The 20,914-nt window shown below is 52.1% G+C and overlaps 1 long non-coding RNA gene across 2 annotated transcripts, besides 2 other annotated features; it reads right to left on the reverse strand.

The window, feature by feature from the left end:
* Nucleotides 1-1,869: 1,869 nt before the first annotated feature.
* On the reverse strand, nucleotides 1,870-7,996 carry LOC105371381 (uncharacterized). 2 transcript variants are annotated; one of them, XR_933837.2, is made up of 3 exons: nucleotides 7,963-7,976; nucleotides 7,677-7,785; nucleotides 3,755-4,008 (listed from the first exon to the last, which is right to left on the reverse strand). It is a non-coding gene; the product is annotated as an uncharacterized LOC105371381 (long non-coding RNA). The 2 variants fall into 2 exon arrangements; XR_007065155.1 differs by having other exon boundaries at nucleotides 1,870-4,008; nucleotides 7,677-7,996.
* Nucleotides 9,478-10,000: an enhancer, noted in NCBI's record as "H3K4me1 hESC enhancer chr16:85159272-85159794 (GRCh37/hg19 assembly coordinates)". NCBI's record gives its function as "activates a minimal SCP1, AML or CMV promoter by ChIP-STARR-seq in naive H9 embryonic stem cells {active_cell/tissue: H9 hESC(naive)}" and the evidence as "EXISTENCE:reporter gene assay evidence [ECO:0000049][PMID:30033119]".
* Nucleotides 10,001-10,522: an enhancer, noted in NCBI's record as "H3K4me1 hESC enhancer chr16:85159795-85160316 (GRCh37/hg19 assembly coordinates)". NCBI's record gives its function as "activates a minimal SCP1, AML or CMV promoter by ChIP-STARR-seq in naive H9 embryonic stem cells {active_cell/tissue: H9 hESC(naive)}" and the evidence as "EXISTENCE:reporter gene assay evidence [ECO:0000049][PMID:30033119]".

Here is a 20,914-nt window from a genome sequence, read left to right on the forward strand (position 1 = left end):
CTGGGTCTACATAGTCTCCTGGAATCAGAAACTGTTCTCAGTTTTTTTTGTTTTTGTTTTCGTTTTTTCTAAGATGGAGTTTTGCTCTTGTCACCCAGGCTAAGGTGCAATGGCACAATCTCAGCTCACTGCAACCTCCGCCTCCTGGGTTCAAGCCATTGTCCTGCATCAGCCTCCTGAGTATCTGGTATTACAGGCGCCCACCACCATGCAGGGCTAATTTTTGTATTTTTAGTAGAGACGGGGTTTTACCACGTTGGTCAGGCTGGTCTCAAACTCCTGACCTCAGGTGATCTGCCCACCTCGGCCTCCCAAAGTGCTGGGATTACAGGCATGAGGCATGGTGCCCGGCCTCTCAGCCTTTTTTCATTCATGATATTGACTTTGGTTTTTTAAGTTTCTGTAACTTTTTATTTTGAAATAATTTCAGTTGTGCAACAATAATATAAGAACTCCTTCACCCAGATTCCCCGGTTGTTGACATGTTACCACGTTTGTTTCATGATTCTCTCTGCCCCTCTCTCTCTCTCATGTGTATTTTATTTTCTGAACCACTTGAGAACAGTTGCAGACCTGAAGCCCCTTTGCCCAAATATTTCATATGTGTTTCCCAAGAACAAGACCAGTCTCTTACATAACCACAGTAAGAGTATCAACGTCAGAAAATTCACTCTGTTATGTTCCATTCCCCAATCTACAGACTTCATTCAGATTCTACAGTTGTCTCAATAACACCGTTTTAGCAAACAGGCAAGCCATTGTCTCCTGGCCCAGGACAGCCACCCGCTGCCTTTAGCAGGCGCGATACTGACGTTTTGGGGACTCTGAGCCAGTTGTTTTGGGCAACATCCCTCGGTGCCCATTTTCTCGAGCACCGATTCAGGCTGAGGTCATGGCAGGATGGCTCAGAGGTGCCCCTGGGCCCTGCCTCTGTTTTATTTTATTGTATTTATTTATTTTATTTTATTTTATTTTTTGAGATGGAGTCTCGTTCTGTTGCCCAGGCTGGAGTGCAGTGGTGGGATCTCGGCTCACTGCAAGCTCTGCCTCCCGGGTTCACCCCATTCTCCTGCCTCAGCCTCCTGAGTAGCTGGGACTACAGGTGCCCGCCACCACACCCAGCTAATTTTTTTGTATTTTTAGTAGAGATGGGGTTTCACCGTGTTAGCCAGGATGGTCTCGATCTCCTGACCTTGTGATCCGCCCGCCTCGGCCTCCCAAAGTGCTGGGATTACAGGCGTGAGCCATCGCGCCCTGCATCTGCCGCTGCCTCTGTTTTGTAAGACTCTCTACCCTAGATGCTTCTAGGCCACCTTTTCCCACATGACATAATTTCCAGCCTCCTCCCACCACCCATCTGCAGAGCGTCAGTCCCAGAGGCCGCCCACCGCCTGGAATTTCGGGTGGACCAGCCTGGCCAACATGGTGAAATTTGAAGCCCCATCTCTACTAAAAACACAAAATTAGCTGGGCGTGGTGGCACACACCTTTAGTCCCAGCTACTTAGGTGGCTGAGGCATGAGAATCACTTTAATCCAGGAAGCGGAGGTTGCAGTGAGCCAAGATCACGCCACTGAACTCCAGGCTGGGTGACAGAGCGAGACTCTGTCTCAAAAAGAAAAATAAATAAAATAACATTTATTGCGCTCTTAAACTGTGCTGGGCCCTGGGCTAAGGGTTTCACACATGCCCATCAGCAATTGGTATTATGCAAAAGAATTACCAACCTCATGTCAGGACTTGTCCCAGCCCTTCGCCATAGCAGGTCCCCTCACCACCTCTCTGTAAATGACTGCAACCCCTCCCCAACCAAAAGATAGTACAGGAATAGTATTGGCCACAAGTAAGAGAAAACCCCAAATACTCATGTCTTTAAAAAGATGAGAATTTATTTCTCACGTCTGTGAGGCTCCATGATGTTGGGACCCAGGCTTCTCCTATCTCATTCTTCTATCAATTTCTATTCCTGGAATTGCTTCATGGTCCAAAATGGCTGCTGGAACTCCAGCCATTGCACCTACCATCTAGCCAGCAAGAAGAAGGGAGGGGCAAAGGAGACCATGCCCCTTTCTTTTTTTTGAGACTGAGTCTTTCACCCAGGCTGGAGTACAGTGGCGTGATCCTGGCTCACTGCAACCTCCACCCACCGGACTCAAGCAATTCTCCTGCCTTAGTCTCCCTAGTAGCTGGGATTACAGGTGTGTGCTACCATGCTGGCTAATTTTTGTATTTTTAGTAGAGACAGGGTTTCACCATTTTGGCCAGGCTGGTTTCAAACTCCCAAAGTGCTGGGATTACAGGAGTGAGCCACTGCGCCTGGTCATGCCCTTTTCTTTACTGAAGCTATGCACATCACTTTGTGCTCACATCCCGTTGGTTAGAACTTAGTCACATGACCACACCTAGCTGCAAAGGAGGCTGGGAAATGTAATCTCAGGTACAGGCTCAGGTACAAATCAGGGATTATGTCCAGGGTAGACCAGGCTGCAGGGCTCCACTCTGGCTGGGCTGATGGCCATTCACCTCCTCAGGGGCTCTGTCGGCACTCATAGCTGCTAAAGCCCCAGCCTCGGAGCAGTTTGTGTAGACTCCCTCAGCCACTCCTGCAGGGGACCACAATCAGGCTGGGGAGCTTGGCCAACGCCCCTTGTTCCTGAGACCTTCGGGCTCATGAGCTGACCATGCCCCAGCGACAGGCCTGGTGTCCCATCTTCCTCCAGGCCAGCAGTGACTGCAGGGTCCCCGGGGTTGTTGTCATGTTTTTGGTGTGCCTCGCTGCCTGCCTCCAGTCTCAACCAAATAATTTGGAAGGGCGTTCAGAATTCTTCGAGTGAGCAGAAAAAAAGACAAACCAAAATGGCTGGGCATGGTGGCTCACGCCTGTAATCCCAACACTTGGGGAGGCCAAGGTGGGCGGATCACCTGAGGTTGGGAGTTTGAGACTAGCCTGGCCATCATGGTGAAACCCCATCTCTAATGAAAATACAAAGACTAGCTGGGCATGGTGGCAGGCACCTGTAATCCCAGCTACTCGGGAAGCTGAGGCAGGAGAATCGCTTGAACCTGGGAGGTGGAGGCTGCAGTGAGCCGAGATCGCACCATTGCATTCCAGCCTGGGTAACAGCACGAGACTCCGTCTCATAAAACAAGCAAGCAAACAAACAAAACCCCAAAATATGTTTCCCTTTGGAAAACCCAGTGATTATGTCAAAAGCTGGTGACAAAGGAAGCGAGGAAGTGGCTGGCATCACTGCGATGTGGGTTTACGAAACAGGCTGGGGTGGAGGCCCTGGAGAAAGGTGAATGGGACCTGGCAGGGGCTGGGCGGAGGCTCAGGAGTCATGGGATCAACTTCCACCTTAGCCACGGGTGTGCTGTGTGGCTCTGGGCAGGTCACTTTGTCTCTCTGAATCTCATTTTCTTTCTTTTTTTAATTTTTGAGACAGGGTCTCACTCTGTCACCCGGGCTGGAATGCAGTGGTGAGATTTTGGCTCACCGCAACCTCTGCCTCCTGGGTTCAAGCGATCCTCACACCTCAGCCTTCCAAGTAGCTGGGACCACATGCACACATCACCACACCCAGCTAATTTTTTGTATTTTTGGTAGAGACAGGGTTTCGCTATGTTGTCCAGGCTGGTCTCCAACTCTTGAGCTCAAGCCATCTGCCCGCCTCGGTCTCCCAAAGTGCTGGGATTACAGGACTAAGCCACCGAGCCTGGTCTCATTTTCTTATTTGTATAATGAGAGAGTGGGGCCTAGTGAGGCCTAGCGCCCTCCCAGCCCTGACACCCTGGGGCCCCATCCCACATCCCAGAACATCTTGCACCCTGACCTCCATGCAGCCTTCTGAGCAACAGGGAAAGGCCTCTGTTCCCAGCTTGGAGCTCCCCACAAAACGCCCCGCACGTGGGACCATGCAGGTGCTGTCTTCCTCTCCTGTCTCTCCTCTGCTGGACTCTTGGCAGCACAAACATTTCCACCGAACAGGAAAAAAGCCTGTTCCCCTCCTAGGCAAAGAGAAGGCAATTTAGAAGCAGTTTGCAGCTCCCCAGGACAGGAGATAAAGGGAAGGATGGTGGTGAAAGTAAGCCTGAAGTTGCATTTTTTACAAAGCTGTTTTTCCTCCTAATTATTATTATTTTCTTTTTTCAGAGGAGTCTTGTTCTATTGCCCAGGATGGAGTGCAGCAGCATGATCTCGGCTCACGGCAACCTCCGCCTCCCGGGTTCAAGCGTTTCTCCTGTCTCAGCCTCCCAAGTAGCTGGGATTACAGGCATGTGCCACCATGCCCAGCTAATTTTTGTATTTTCAGTAGAGACAGGGTCTCACCATGTTGCCGAGGCTGACCTCTAACTCCTGAGCTCAGGTGATCCACCCACCTCGGCCTCCCAAAGTGCTGGGATTACAGGCGTGAGCCACCGTGCCCAGCCTTTCCCTCCCTGATTATGTAGTAAATCCAGAAATACAGGTAGAAAGTACAGGAGGAAAAGTGCATAATCCCACATCCAGAGATACCCGTGGGTAACAGAGGATGCATTTCTCTACAGTCTTTAGGAAATAATTGATATGATTTCGTAATTTTGACATCACAGGCATTCTCATATGCTAATATAATAGTTGTTATTTTTCTTTTTTCTTTTTCTTTTTTTTTTTTTGAAATGGAGTCTCGTTCTGTCGCCCAGGCTGGAGTGCAGTGGCGTGATCTCGGCTCACTGCAAGCTCCGCCTCCCAGGCTCATGCCATTCTCCTGCCTCGGCCTCCCGAGTAGCTGGGACTACAGGCGCCCGCCACCACGCCTGGCTAATTTTTTGTATTTTTAGTAGAGTCGGGGTTTCACCGTGTTAGCCAGGATGGTCTCCATCTCCTGACCTCATGATCCGCCCACCTTGGCCTCCCAAAGTGCTGGGATTACAGGCGTGAGCCACTGTGCCCGGCCAATATTTGTTATTTTTCTATCTTTTTATTTAAAAAGATTTCAAATACATAGAACAATGAAAAAAAGAAGAGCATGCAGTTTGTGGCCCACCCTCTGGATTTGATGGGTGTTGGCGTCTGCACAGTGATCAAGCTCGTTTTAGTGGCTGGGTGGTATTGCACTAGGGCACACGTGTCTGGGCTCGGTCAGTTACTGAATGAATATGTATTAAGCGCCCACTCTGTGCCCAGCAATCTCACAGGCTTTGGGGCCTCGTCAGTGAACAAAATAGTCATGTGTTTGCTCAAAGGACACTCTATCTAGGAGCGTGGGGAGATGTAAAGGAGCCCTTAGGCATGGGAGAAGTGAAATTTCCAATGGTGGAAGGCCGTGTGCGGGTCAGCCAGTCCTCCCTAGTACTCGGGCGTCTTTGGGATGGTGGAAGGGTTTTCATGAGGACTTTTTGGCCAACAGTTTGGGACCTGTTTCCTCTGTAGTATGAAATTGCCAGGGCCTTCCCCAGCCAGCAGGAAGCCAGCGACAAGCATCTGTTGGTAGGATGCTACCTCCGAGGCACCCAGCCCAGGGACCCCTGAAAGCCAGCCGCACAGCAAAGTGAGCCAGGCTGGCACTGCCACTGTCCACAGTGAACTGGGAAGAACATGGAAAATGCGAACTGACAAAGCGACAAAGTGACAAAAATTTAAATTGTTTTAAATTTTTAAAACAATTTAGGGGCTGGGCACGGTGGCTCATGCCTATAATCCCAGTATTTTGGGAGGCCGAGGCAGGCAGATCACCTGAGGTCAGGAGTTCGAGACCAGCCTGGCCAACATAGTGAAACCCCATCTCTACAAAAAAAAACAAAAAAAAAAATTTAGCCAGGCATGATGGCAGGTGCTTGTAATCCCAGCTACTCGGGAGGATCACTTGAACCCGGGAGGCGGAGGTTGCAGTGAACTGAGATTGTACCATCGCACTCCAGCCTGGGTGACAGAGTGAGACTATATCTCAAAAAAAAAGAATTTAGGGATTTGTATTCCTTCATTTGTGGTAGTCTTGTGTGTCTTGTTGGGTACAAAATGGTAGTGGTTGTGTTACTTTTTTTTTAAAATGTCCTTGCTTAAGGCTGGATGTGGTCGCTCACACTTGTGATCCCAGCACTTTGGAAGGCTGAGGGAGGAGGATTGCTTGGGTCTAGGAGTTTGAGAACAGCCTGCAGAACAAAACAGACCCTGTCTCTACAAAACAGTTAAAAAAAATTAGCTGGGTATGGTGGTGCACGCCTATAGTCCCAGCTACTTGGGAAGCTGAGATGGGAGGATCACTTGAGATCCCAGAAGGTGGAGGCTGTAGTGAGCCAAGATTGCGCCACAAAAATTAGCCAGGTGTGGTAGTGGGTGCCTGTAATCCCAACTACTTGAGAGGCTAAGGCAGGAGAATCACTTGAACCCAAGAGGCAGAGGTTGCAGTGAGCCAAAATGGTGCCACTGCATTCCAGCCTGAGCCACAGAGTAAGACCCTGCCTCTGAAAAAAAAAAAAAAAAAAAAAAAAGGCCGGGCATGGTGGCTCATTCCTGAAATCCCGGCACTTTGGAAGGCCAAGGCAGGTGGGTCACTTGAGGTCAGGAGTTCGAGACCAATCTGGACAACATAGTGAAACCCATGTCTACTAAAAATACAAAAATTAGTTGGGCGTGGTGGTGGGTGCCTGTAATCCCAACTACTCGGGAGGCTGAGGCGGGACAATCGCTTGAACCAGGAGGTGGAGCTTGCAGTGAGCCGAGATCATGCCACTGCACTCCAGCCTGGGCGACAGAGCAAGACTCTATCTCAAAAAAAAAAAAAAAAAAAAAAAATCAGTACCAAGAAACATTTATTTAAAACTCCAAAAAGTGAAGTCTCCTTATCATACCATTTTATTCAAAGAAAGAATACTGTCACACCAATTTTTTTTTTAATAAAAGGACAAAAGGCATAAGGTTAGAAGCTCCTGAAGTGGTAAAAAATAACAATTTAAAAAAAAAACAACCTTAGAAGCAAGGCCAGCTGCCCTCACCTCTTATATTCTAAACACTATGCACCAAAATCTCAGAAGTCACCACTAAAGAGCGTATTCATGTAACCAAACACTACCTATTCCTCAAAAACCTATTGAAATTAAAATTAATTAATTAATTAAATATTCAGAGCCCTCCCCACCATCCCCACTTTTTTAAAAATTTGAGGTACAGTCTCGCTCTGTCACCCAGGCTGGAGTGCAGTAGCACGATCTCAGCTCACTGCAACCTCCACCACCTGGGTTTAAGCGGTTCTCCCGCCTCAGCCTCTCAAGTAGCTGCTATTACAGGCATGCGCCACCACACCCAGCTAATTTTTCTGTATTTTTAGTAGAGATGGGGTTTCACCATGCTGGCCAGGCTGGTCTGGAACTCCTGACCTCAAGTGATCTGCCCACCTGGGTCTCCCAAAGTGCTGGGATTACAGGCGTGAGTCACTGTGCCCAGCCTCCGAGCCCTTATTTTCCTCCTCTGTCTTGAGCTTCCGATAACTCTGGCCCAAGTCATCACCGACCCCCAGCCCCCATTTTAGGGACTGCCACAGCCAAACTGCTTGGTTCCAATCCCAGCTCCGCCACCTACCAGCTGTGAATTGTGGACTGGTTCTGACTTGCTGTGGGCCTCAGTTTCCTCATCTGTAAAATAGGAATAGAGCCCCCCTCCTCTCCCCAGTGGAATAGAGAATAATGCGGTGCCTCACCGGGGCCTGGGGCGTAGCACGTGCTCACTGAGCGGTGGCTGGTTTTACTCTGCCTCCTCCTCCGCGCCTGTCCTGGAGAGGAGACACCGGCTGGGCCTGGGATGGGAGCCTTCCCGCAGGGAGGGAAGGCCGGGAGTGTGAGCAAGGAAAGTGGGAAGGTCCCTGATACAAGCTCTGCTGACTTCAGGGTTCTGCTGAGACCACAGCCACCAGCCAAGCCGCCTCTGTCAGAGGGAACAAAGGGTGACCTCCCTGCAGGCTCCCCGATTCCACAGGAACGACTCACAGCCTCGGCCTCGGGGCTTTGTGAAACCTTCTTTAAACAATAAGTGCTGAGCTGGGCGCTTCCTCTCTCCAGAGCGGCCCGGGCACATCCGCTCCAATGAGGTGACGTGTCCGTGCATTTGGCCGGGACGACCACCTCAGAGGCCAAGGCGCGGGGACTGGGCCCCAGCCAGGCCGGGGTGCCGTCCAGGAAGGAGACACTGCTTCCCGTGGGCCTGGCACGGTCACTCCCCCGCTGCCCGCCCCACCTCGGGACCAAGTCCCCCCCAGGGGGGCCCGCTGTGATGACGACGTCCAGCCCCAGGGGGCCTGAAGTGAGGACAGGTCATCAGATGGGCCCTGGGAAATTTCCACACGATGGCAATTTTGTGATGGTTTCTTGGACTTCTCTAAATGATAAAAAATCCTTGGAACTCAGAGCCACATGCAGTCAGGATGGCTGCGCTTGCACTTTAGGAGTTCTTGAGCTACTCACTCATTTAACGCATTTTTATGGAGCAATTGCTCCGGGCTTGGCTCTGAAGGCCCAGTGGTGGACGTGACAGGTGACAGGCATGCGTGGGCCCTGCCCTGCTGGAGCCAGTCTCATGAGAGCCCCCAGTTAGACAAGCACATGCCAGTGAAGGGCCACATGGCACTGAGAAGCTGCTTCACTCCCACCAGTGCAGCAGCTGGGGTCATACAGACTGACGACAACAAGTGTGGGTGAGGATACAGAGAAATTGGAACCCATCTTTGTGGCAGGTGGGGATGACAGTGGTGCAGCTGCAGTGGAAACGGTCTGGCAGCTCCTCAAAAGGTTTAAACACAGAGTTAGCACGCAGCCCAGCAATTCCACTCCTAGGCTTATACCTAAGACGAATGAGAGCATCTGTTCACACCAAAACCTGTCCACAAATGTTTATAACAGCAATATTCTTAAGTAGCCAACCAGTGGAAACCACCAGATGTCCATCCATTGATGAAGAGATAAGGTGTGGTACGTCCACACAGTGGAATATTATTCAGCCACGAAAAGGAATGAAGTGCTGAGTCATGTTATAGTGCGGATGAATCGTGAAAACATGCTAAGTGAAAGAAGCAGTTCACAGAAGACCTGCAGGGCATAGGTTTCCATTTACAAGAACTGTTCAGAACAAGAACATTCATAGAGATATAAAGTGGATGCATGGTTGCCTGAGGCTGGGGGGCAGGGGGAGAGGGGATGGGGTGACTGTTAAGTGCATGGGATCTTTTGGGGTGATGAAAATGTTCTGGAAGTAGACAGTGGTGATACTCGAGCACCCTTGTGAATATATGAAAAACCTCTGAATTGCACACTTTAAAATTGTTAATTTTATGGCATATGGATTATAGCTCCATTTTTTTTCAGCAGACAGAAGGGCCAGGGCCGGGAGCTTTCAGTCTATGTGGGCTCTCTCAGCTCACAAATCCAGGAAAGCATATACCGTATTAATTCCTTTGAAGCTTTCCAGCCTTTTGAAGGCAATGACCGTAGCCCCATCTTCAAGGTCTTCTTGCTGAGGGCTATTTCTGTGGCTCTGGGCTGCCCAGGGAAAGTGCTGGCACACTGTGAGCACAGTGAGTGCTCAGAAAGGACAGGCGTGTTGGAAGCGGCAGGCAGGGTCTGGAACAGCCACCTTTTGGCTTCTCTCCAGAGTTCTCAGCGCCACCCAAATCTATCTAGCCTCAACGCCAACCCCTGCTGGACCTCTCAGCTCAATTGTAGCACCTTTTAATGAAAGACACTGGGAAGTGTACTGCCAGGTACTGTTGGGCAGTTTGTTCACTGTGCAAGCAGCATTTATCGAACTCCTACCATATGCCAGAAAGCTTGCTTAGCACTTTGCCTAAACTGAACCTTGTTTCATCCTCACACTCACTCTTTGGTGAGGGAGTCATTAACCTCAGCTTCTGAAGGCAGGAGCCTTGGGAAGCTTTGTGAGTCCCTCAAATTCACACTCTTTCCCTGGCTGCATCGGGGGCAACCCTGGCAGGCCCCAGTTCTTCAGCAAAGCAAGGCCTGCCTCGCCACTGGGAAGGGCCAGGAAGCCTCTCACGCCAGACCTGCCATGCCCAGGGAGTCCCGGGAGCCTGGGACCCGCCCGAAGCTGGGGCTCAGCTGTGGGAGGCACAGTGGTGAGACTCTCAGGACAGGGGTCAACAGGACCTGGGTCCAGCCTTCCTGACTCTGTTCGTCGGCAAGTTGTTGAATCTGTCTGGGCCTTGATTTTTCTCGTGTGTTCAATGGGCAGTGACAACATCACTTCTAGAATTGCTTGGGGATGAAATGACATAACACACGCAAAGCGCTTAGCTCACGGAGGAACCCCTAATGCCTATCAGCGTTCAGAGGCATGTGCTGGTTACTTTTCCCCACCATCCACGAGGGCAGGGCCTCAGCTGTCTCGTTCACAGCAGTTCCTGGTGCCTGGCGCCGTGCCTGGCACATGGCACTCAATAAATATTTTTGAACAAATTAATGAACGAATGAATTAGTGAACGAGGGCTACTTAGTACCGGGTGCTGCCCACAGACTTCAGATCTGCCGCTGGAAGTCACCAGACTCCTCCTAGAAGAGGCCACAGCCCCCAGTGCCCCACCCCAGCAGGGGTCAGATTCTCCCTGGGTGGTCCTGCTCAGAAAACACGGCTGGGGGAGCTGCCAGGCGGCAGGGGGTTGGGGGAGTCCCAGCCTCTCCTGTTTCTTCGGCCTTGCGGGCGCCGTGACCTTCCCCACCTGGCCCTGTCCGTCTTGCTGGCTGCCCTGGCCACCAGGGAGCCCGCAGTGCCTGCCCCGGCTCCCCTTTCACACGGAGAGGGGCGCCTTCTCCATCTGTACGGCCTCACCGGGACTTTCCTCCCCAGCTCTCAGGTTACATTCCATTCACAAAAAACAGTCCAGATTGTAAGATGTGTGAGCGAATTATAAGGAAAAAAGCGAGGTGGAAAAATGTGGTCAGAGAGTGAGCTAGCTGGGATCGGGGCACAGGAAATTGTTCCACCCACCCCCTTCCACCCACCCACACACATGCCCGGGGCCAGCTGGAAGCCTTTCCATCTGCTGCGTGGGCTTCCAGGCTCAGGGCTGCCCGCTCTATGCAGGGGGGTTGGTGGGGTAGGGAGCGGGGGAGGGGACACTGAGCAAGAGAGGCAAAGAGATTCAGTGGCAGAGGCTCTAATTAACAACCACTCCATTATGTCCTCTTGGCCAAAGCTGCCAGGTACTGTTGGGCAGGTTGTTCACTCTGCAAGGGTGCTTGGCTCCATCCAACAAGCCATGTGCCCTGGCATAAGGCTCTGTCTGCCCAGCGGGGGACATCTTTTCCTCACACACACAAAGGTAGCTCATGCACTGGTGGTCTCGGCTCATAAATCTTCACTTCTAAAATGCTTAAAATAGAACTTTGCTCAATGTGACTCTCTCACTCCAAGACTCTCCATGGCTCCCACTGATCTACAGGATAAAAATAGCAGCACATTTCCTGATGACTGCCTGTGTGCCTGGACTGTGCCAAGGGGTTTCGTGTGCAATGCCCCTTCTCCACCACCACAGACAATTCTTATGAACAGGTCTACAAAAAACTACATAAAATATATATGTACTGTTTAGTAAAAAAAAAAATTTTTTTTTTTTGAGACAGAATCTCACTCTGTTGCCCAGGCTGGAGTGCAGAGGCACAATCTCGGCTCACCACAACCTCCGCCTCCCGGGTTCAAACGATTCTCCTGCCTCAGCCTCCCAGGTAGCTGGAACTACAGGCGTGCACCACCATATCCGGCTAATTTTTGTATTTTTAGTAGAAACCGGGTTTCACTATGTTAGTCAGGCTGGTCTTGAACTTCTGACCTCATGATCCACCCGCCTTGGCCTCCCAAAGTGCTGGGATTACAGGCATGAGCTACCACGACCTTCCCTGTTTAACAAATTACAAACAAATGCCTTTACCCCTCACAACAATAGTGTGAGGTAGCCACTGTTACCATTGCATTTTCCAGGTGAGGAAGCGGAGACACTGAGAGGTGAGTTGCAGGCCTGAAGTCACACAGGAGGTACAGGCAGGATTTTGTTTTTCGAGACAAGGTCTCTCTCTGTCATGCAGGCTGGAGTTCAGTGGCACAGTCACAGCTCACTGCAGCCTTGACCTCCTGGACTCAAGTGATCCTTCCGCCTCAGATTTCAGAGTAGCTGGGACTACAGGTGTGGGCCACCACACCCTGCTAATTAAAAAATAATAATAATAATAAATTAGCGCTATGAGGTCTCGCTGTGCTGCCCAGGCTGGTCTTAAACTCCTAGCCTCAAGTGATCCTCCTGCCTCAGCCTCTCAAAGCTGGGATTCCAGGCACGAGCCACCACAGCCACCCAGAGGCAGGATTTGAACCCAGGCCTCTGGCTGCAGAAGCCCACAGGGGACCTCTGCTGCTTCATCTCAGTGCCCACAACAACCTTGCCAGGGGCCTCTCTCCTTGTCCCCATTTTTCAGATGTGGACACTGAGGTCCAGAGGGAGCGACCCCTTATTCAGGGCCAGCATTGAAGAGGCTGCACTTTACCACCGCACTGTCCCCTTGCCTACAGCAGGTGCCGAATTGATGTATGTTTGAGTGAAAGTGTGGGCTGCTTTAAACCACACCACCAGCCCTGTCCCTCTCCAGGTGGTTTTGTAAGGGACAGCAGGACAGATACTTTACTCCTTGTTAAGTCCCTTCAGACACTGGGCCTGATCCAGGCCCTTCAGCCCCTCCAGGTTCTTGTCTGATTTTCCTGGTGTGCAGGAGAGATATGACTCCAGGCAGAGCCTAAAGGCTGCAACCTTAGCCTCCCACAGGACGGCAAACTTTACTGCGCTTTGCACGGGGAGAACCTAAATGGCATAGAATTGCAAACAGTGGGACCGTCTTCAAAGCTAAACGAAGCCGGGCGCGGTGGCTCACACCTGTAATCCTAGCACTTTGGGAGGCCGAGGCAGGCGGATCACTTGAGGCCAGGAGTTCGAGACCAGACTGGCCCACATGGTGAAACCCCGTCTCTACTAAAAATATAGAAAATTAGCTGGGCATGGTGGCTTGCACTTGTAATCCCAGCTGCTTGGAAGGCTGAGGCAGGGGAATCCTTGAACCCGGGAGGCAGAAGCTGCAGTGAGCTGAGATTGCACCATTGCACTCCAGCCTGGGCAAGAAGAGGGAAACTGCATCTCAAAAAAAAAAAAAAGCGAAATGAGCCAGGATCGAAATCCCATCCCTGGCCTTTGAGAAAATGACTCCGCTGCTCCATTTCCTCACCCACAGAATGGGATGAGCTCTTTCTCCTTGGGTCTGTTGTTGGGATTAAACCATGCACTTGGCCGGGCGCCGTGGCTCATGCCTGTAATCCCAACACTTTGGGAGGCTGAGGCAGGCGGATCACTTGAGGTCAGGAATTCTAGACCAACCTGGCCAACATGGTGAAACCCCGTCTCTACTAAAAATACAAAAATTAGCTGGGTGTGGTGGTGCACGCCTGTAATCCCAGCTGCTCAGGAGGCTGAGGCAGGAGAATTGCTTGAACCCGGGAGGCAGAGGTTGCAGTGAGCTGAGATGGCGCCACTGCACTCCAGTCTGGGCCACAGAGCAAGACTCTGTCTCAAAAAAAGCAAAAAACAAAAAAACCGGACAAACCAACCATGCAGTCTTCATAACATGCCTGGGAGCATGTTGGCACACAGTAGATGCACAATAATTGCTCTCTTTCCCTGTCTTCATGCCGGCAGAGCAGGGGCACAGATCTGGTGGTTTAAACCATATCGGGGACTGCTTTTCACATTGAGTCCTTACCCACGTGGCCCAATGAGGCTCATTCCTGTTCATGGATTTTTTTCCCTGCTGCATCTGTCAGTATCATAAATACTTGCAAAGGGAAGAAAAAAAAATTCCCCCAGACTTGACGTCAACACAAACAGCCCTAATTGGTCCTGGAGCCTCATAATTCTCAGATTGTCTTGACCATGTGTATCTAGGAAATTCACAGCGGCAAAGGTGAAGGGTGTTTTCATTCGTAAATTGAAGTGAAGGCTTTGTCTCCAACTGAAATTTGGCTCCAACCCCTCACCTTGGGTCGCTTTTTCTGTGTGTGTGTGCAGAAATCTGACTTATCGCTTTCTTAGGGGAAGGAGAAAAGGCATGAATATTTAATTATTCTGCTGCCAAGAAAGGAGGGTTCGGAGCTAGATGAGGAAAGAGCTAGGTTTTTCTCTTCCAGGCCAAGGCAGGGCCCAAAACAGCCCTTCGGATTCTCCCCTGCCCTCCCTCTTTTTGTCATTTTGGGGGTGCCACAAGCTGTCCTGCTCTGCTTTCCCGGCCTCTCTATTTTTGGAAAGCATCAGCTGTTGGGTGAGTTTCATTAATTTCCGGTCAGATCTTCTGAGCTCCTTGGCATGTCTTGTTTTGTTCACAACAAACTTCAGAGAAGGAGGAGGAGGGAGAGGAGAGGTGAGGCCCAAGCTCGCTTTTGGCCAAAGAATTGCCAGCCGAGAGGGAAGGGGGGCCTGTGGCTGACGAGGCTAGAACATTCTGCAATGTGGAAGCCAAAAAATTCCAAAAGAAACATTCTGTAGCTTCCAGCCTGTAAGAGGAGGAAGAGGATTTCCTCTCTGGGCAGTTTCTGGGGGCTCTAGGGAGGGACCCATCAGTGCAGCCCCTCTGGCAGCCAGGACGGAGGGGCGGGATGTGGGGGGACAGGAAACAGGGTCAGGACTCTGGGCAGCACCAAATTTGGAGAAGCTCAGGGGTGAGAATTTCAGCCCAGGCAGGAACAGGACTCTGTGATGACCGAGCCTCCTCCGATCTTGGGGAGATTTGCCTCTCTTCTCGGGTGGGTAAACTGAGGCAGTGAGCTCCCTCCACTTTGCCACTTTGCAGAGCAAGTTTCCAGGAGAGCTGCATGTCAGAGGTGCCACTGGCTAAGCACCTACCTGCCATCACAAACTTCACATAGATTTTCCCGTATCCTTGGCACAACTCAAAAGGGGTGAGCCATTAGGCCCAGAAGACACATGTGGAAACAGGCTGAGAGGCCACCTCTTTCTCCAACTAATATTTTAAAGTTATCCTATGATTCATCTGGCCAGGTGGCTCAGACCTGTAATCCCAGCACTTTGGGAGGCCGAGGCAGGTGGATCACCTAAGGTCAGGAGTTTGAGACCAGGCTGGCCACATGGCAAAACCCCATCTCTACTAAAAATACAAACAAATTAGTCAGGCGTAGGGGTGCATGCCTGTAGTCCCAGATACTCAGGAGGCTGAGGCAGAAGAATTGCTTGAACCCAGGAGGTAGAGATTGCAGTGAGCGGAGATCACGCCACCACACTCCAGCCTGGGTGACAGAGCAGACTCCGTGTCAAATAAATAAATAAAGTTATCCTATGATTAATTTCTGTTTTTTTTTTTTTTAGATGGAGTCTTGCTCTGTCGCCCAGGCTTGAGTACAGTGGCGCAATCTCGGCTCACTGCAAGCTCTGCCTCCCGGGTTCACGCCATTCTCCTGCCTCAGCCTCCCGAGTAGCTGGGACTGCAGGTGCCTGCCACAACGCCCAGCCAATTTTTTATATTTTTAGTAGAGACGGGGTTTCACCATGTTAGCCAGGATGGTCTCGATCTCCTGACCTTGTGATCCGCCCACCTCGGCCTCCCAGAGTGCTGGGATTACAGGCGTGAGCCACCGCACCCGGCCTCCTATGATTAATTTCTTAACAATAGTATACCAGATATGATGTCATTATATATAAATTAAACAAAATAATAGGAACCCCCAGTTTTAATAACAACCACTGGGAGTAATTAAGACAATTGCATGACACTGATTTTGTTAGAACAAGCGCCTTTGCTGCCATCTGACAGAAAATTGATATAATTGATGGATAAGTAGTCCATCTTTCAAGTCAATAAAGCTGTCATAAAAACACAAACATGTTTTCTAGATTATAAAGATATCCACAATGTGAACAGCATCCCCTTTGTCATGGATTCCTTGCAGTGCTCAACCTAAATAATGGAATAGAGTGAGGCCTGGCGTGGTGGCTCACGCCTGTAATCCCAGCACTTTGGGAGGCTGAGGCAGGCGGATCACGAGGTCAAGAGATTGAGACCATCCTGGTCAACATGGTGAAATCCCATTTCTACTAAAAATACAAAAATTAGTTGGGCATGATGGTGCACGCCTGTAATCCCAGCTACGTGGGAGGCTGAGAATCGCTTGAACCTGGGAGGCGGAGGTTGCAGTGAGCCAAGATCGTGCCACTGCACTCCAGCCTGGGGCGACAGAGCGAGACTCCATCTTAAAAAAAAAAAAAAAAAAAAAACACGGGACACAGTAACCCTGATGAGTAATTGAATTTGAACTTGGCGCTGCCTCTCCAAAGCCTGGGTACCACTTATTCCATCCCTAGTTAGCCATGAGGCCCACCCCAACTTCTAGCCACTAGTGACTAAGAGCACTGAGGAGTCAGACAGGAAGGGACATGAAGTGCTCAGCTGTGGGATCTCCCCTTGGTCCTGGGGCTTGGAGCTCTGGAACCTTGAATGGCTATTTACAGGACACAGAGCCGGGCAGAGCCTTGGGGATGCAGGGGTGAGTTCACGGACGGAGAGATAGGGGGATGGGATTTTTTTTTTTTTTTTTTTTTTTTTTTAAATGAGATGGAGTTTCGCTCTGTCACCCAGGCTGGAGTGCAGTGGCGCTATCTCCGCTCACTGCAACCTCCGCCTCTCAGGTTCAAGCCATTCTCTTGCCTTAGCCTCCCCAGTAGCTGGGATTACAGGTGCCCACCACCACACCGAGCTAACTTTTGTATTTTAGTAGAGACAGGGTTTTGCCATGTTGTCCAGGCTGGTCTTGAACTCCTGAGCTGAGGCAATCTGCCCGCCTCGGCCTCCCAAAGTGCTAGGATTACAGGTGTGAGCCACTGTGCCTGGCCAGGGGGATGGGATTTTCGACGCCGTCTGTGCACACGTGTGTCTAAGCGTGCACATTTCTGTGTGTGCATGTGTTTTTGTGTGTATGCATTTCTGTGTGTACACGTGTTTGCACGTTTCTGTGTGTACACGTATGTGTGAGTGTGAGCATGTTTCTGTGTGTGCACACCTGCATACTGAGAGGGGTAGGACTTGTTTTCAGGTGGGGACCCTTTAGCACGGACATTTGGGGCCTACAAGAGGACTTTGCCCCACTCATTGTGGATCAGTAGCTGCTTCTTGTCAGGGGGAATGGGTAGCACCCAGAGGGCCCAGGAGCATTTATTGAATACCTACTGTGTACCAGGCACTCCTTGGCACCTTACCCATGCCCCTGGAGGGTCTTAGTAACCCCACTTTCCAGAGTCATTGTTCAGAGTCCTGGCAGGAGGGAAGTGCAGGGGACTAGGCTGGGGGCCTTGACTCTAGGCCCCCTGCCCCCTCCCCTCTCCTTGGGAAGGAGATAACCCAGAGCCCTCCTGAGAGTCCCCAAGTTGTCCTGGCCCTTTTTGCCTGGGTCTCCTCCTTTCCCCTTGTGATGGGGAGACTGAGGCTGGAGGAGGGGAGGAAACTGGCTGGTAGAGGGAGGAAAGTGTGCAGATGGGAAGGTGGTCAGGGGGTGCAGAGAGGGAGGTGGGGGCTGCAGATGGGAAGGTGGCCAGGGGTGCAGAGGGGGAGGTGGGGGCCGGGAGTGCAGACGGGAGGTGGCCTGGAGGCCCATCTTTTTTTGGAGGACTCTGCTGTGTCCTCTCTTCCTTTCACCCACTGGGAACCTAAACTCACCTGTCCCTCCAGGCTCAGCCTAAGGTCACCTTCTCCATGACGCCCTTGGCCAGTGCCTGCTGTCTGTTTCCAAAGGTCAAGTTCTAAGTTGTGGCTCGGTTTCTGGTTGGTCTGTCAGATCCCCTGGGACAGGGCTACACCCTTGGCCTGAGAAAGACTCTGTGTGGTGCATGACTTCACGGATCAAAGGGACTCAGACCTGGGTTTGAGTCCTAACCCACTCCTATTAGCCATGTGACCCTCGGCAGTGCCCTGATGTGCCACATTTCATATCCAGCCCTTTAAAGGCACTCAGAATGGCCCCGAAGCCTGACTCCTCTCCCTCATCCCCATTTTTGGTTGCTTATTTGTTTGTCCTACGGATTCTCTGGCCTCAGGGCCTTTGCACGTGCTGCCCCTTGGCCTGGAGTGCCTTCTCTTCTCTCTCTACCACCTCAGCCTGGCCGACTCCTGGTCCTTCAGGTCTCAACCTCCACCTCCTCTGGGAAGTTTCCCCATCTCCCCATGGCCGGGTCACGTGCTGCTCTTGGGGCACCTGCAGAATCATTGTGCATGTGGCTGCTCCTGGCCAGACCCCGCCAGAGCTCCTGGAAGGCAGGGGTCACACAGAGTTTCTATCGCCCTCTCCTCAGGGCCTAGCCCAGGGCCAGACATCCAGGGGCACACGCTGACGCAGGCTGAATGAGTGACTGCAGCCGGGAGAGCTCAGCCCTCCTCCCTTCCCGCCACACCCCTGGTCTGCAGCCCGCACCGGCACCAAGCTCAGGGACATGGCAGATGGAGGGCCGTGATCTGAGACCCCACTGATCCAGGAGCGCTGAAGTCAGTTCCCAAGGCCCCAGCATACAATGAACCACGTGAAAGCCACCAGCAAGCACCTCTTGTAATCAGGGACAATGCTTGGCCCTGCATCCCGAAGGACATCCCAGGGTCTCCGGAGGTAGGAATGGCCCAGCCAAGCACCCTGGCCTCATGCCTCCCGGCGCAGCCTGCCGAGGGCGGGACCCACCTGGCGACTCCTTCCTTCCAGCTGCTGGCTCTGGGGGTTCCGGCCACGCCTTTCCTGAAGCCACCCCCTTCTTTTTCCGGTCCCCACCCTGCTGGCCGGGCTGCTCCATTTTCTGCCTGACCCCACCCCCAGCCTTTCAGGGCTGCTGGACTGGGGCATGAGAGTGGGGTGGCGCTGGGCTCGCTGGGTGGCAGCTTTGGGGACAGCGGTGCCTGTTGGTATAACAGCCTACAGGCAACGGTCCACCAGTCACTCAGCAGTCCTAAGGGCATCATTATCTCCACTTCACAGATGGGGAAACTGAGGCTCTCAGAGGTTACGCGACTTGACAGGGTCACACAACTGAGTGTACCGGGGGGAAGGCAGGGCAAGGCTTGAGCCCAGGCATATCTGCCTTCAACAGGGACAGCCACTGCCATCCCCCCGCTGCAGACACCACAGGGCTTGGTGGGCTCCAGCCCCTCCCTGAAGCTGTACCTGTGACCCTCACACCTGGAGGAAGCACTGGGAAGTGCTGGAATCAGAGAGGACAGCCCTTCCCTCAGCTACGGCTCCAAACTATCCAGCAAAATGCCCTGGATGGGCCAGAAAGTCAGAAGGGACTTGGCCCAAATAGCAGTTCCAGGAGCAGAGGCTCAAAGCTGTGATGTCCCTTCCTTCTGAAGTTTCTCCAGGACAGACTGTGGTGTGTGTGTGTGTGTGTGTGGTCACCAGCTATACATGGTGGACAGATATCCACTCACAGCTGGGCTCTGTGAGAGAGGAGATGGGAGCAGAGAGTGGGGAGGCCATAGTCAGGCCACCACGAGACCAGGGCATCTGTGAGTCACCCCAGCATAGGGCGAAGGGACAGAGAGGCAGCTCCTCAGCTCCCTGGCAGAGCCCTGTCAGTGGGAGCCACAGAGCTGTCAAGGAAAGAGCTCTGGAAAGGCCCAGCACGGCACTCACATCTGGCATTCCCAGCACTTTGGGAGGCAGAGGTGGGAGGATCACTTGAGCCCAGGAGTTTGAGACCAGCCTGGGCAACATAGTGAGACCCTATCACTACAAAAACGTTAAAAAAATTAGCCAGGTGTGCTGGTGCATGCCTGTAGTCCCAGCTACTTGGGAGGCTGAGGTGGGAGGATCACTTGAGCCTGAGAGGTAGAGGCTGCAGTGAGCAGTGATCGCACCACTGGACTCCAGCCTGTGCGACAGAGTGAGATCCTGTCTCTAAAAGAAAAATAAAAAAGACAGAAAGAGCCCTGGCCTGGGGGTCAGAAGGGCCTGATTTCAGCCTCAGCCCTGTCAGTTATCAGCAGCTGCATCACCACTGTGACCCTCAGTTTCCTCATCTGTACAGTGAGCAAAACATAGTTCCTCCCCCGGCAGCTGTCCTGAGACACAGAAACCACGACCACAAATCACAGGGCTGCTTGGCGCTCAGACATATTAGGAAAAAAAGGAAGAAGATTTGGGTGATCTGAAAAGGTCAGTTTGAGGGTTGAGGGAGAGAGTCCTGCATTTCCTCCCTGGCCTGGCCTCAGCTGGGCCCCACTTCCTGTCCCAAGCTGGCCAGTCAGCTGTGCCCTTGTTTAACCCCCTTCCTGCGGCCATCTCTGCCGGGAGGCACCTCGGTACTTTGGTTTAATTGGCCTCTGCCTGCATTTTAAAGCAGAAAGCGGCCTCTCTCTGAGGACCCAGCGGGGGCAGTCCCTCCCCGTGCTCTGTGCGCAGCCCCAGCTGCCTCTGCACTCCTCATCCAGCTGCCCCGATTTCACGGGGCTCAAATGTTCAAGGTCACTGGGTCGCCCAGAGTGGCTGCTCCACTCCCTTCTCCTCGCCCACGCTGCTGGGACTGCCGGAGCCCCTCCCAGCCGGCCAGGAGCCTGGCTGATTCTTCTCCTAAACTCACCCTGCCCCTAGCTTGCTGCATGAGCTCAACTCCAAGCCCCATTCCAGATCCCGATCTCCTGGTCTGCAGAAGAGTCCAGTGGCCACGAGCGACCTTCCGGAATCGCTCCTCGCACGGTCTGAGACTCAGGAGGGAACATTCTTCATTCTCAGGGAAGGACTCCATTGGTCCTGTTCAGGTCCCGTGCCCATCCCTGCACCAATCACAGTGGCCAGGGGAATGGGAAACTGTGATTGGTCGGGACTGGGTTACATGCTTCCCCTGTTACCAAGGGTCAA

Source organism: Homo sapiens, chromosome 16 (genome assembly GCF_000001405.40).
Source record: "Homo sapiens chromosome 16, GRCh38.p14 Primary Assembly".
Lineage (NCBI taxonomy): Eukaryota > Metazoa > Chordata > Mammalia > Primates > Hominidae > Homo > Homo sapiens.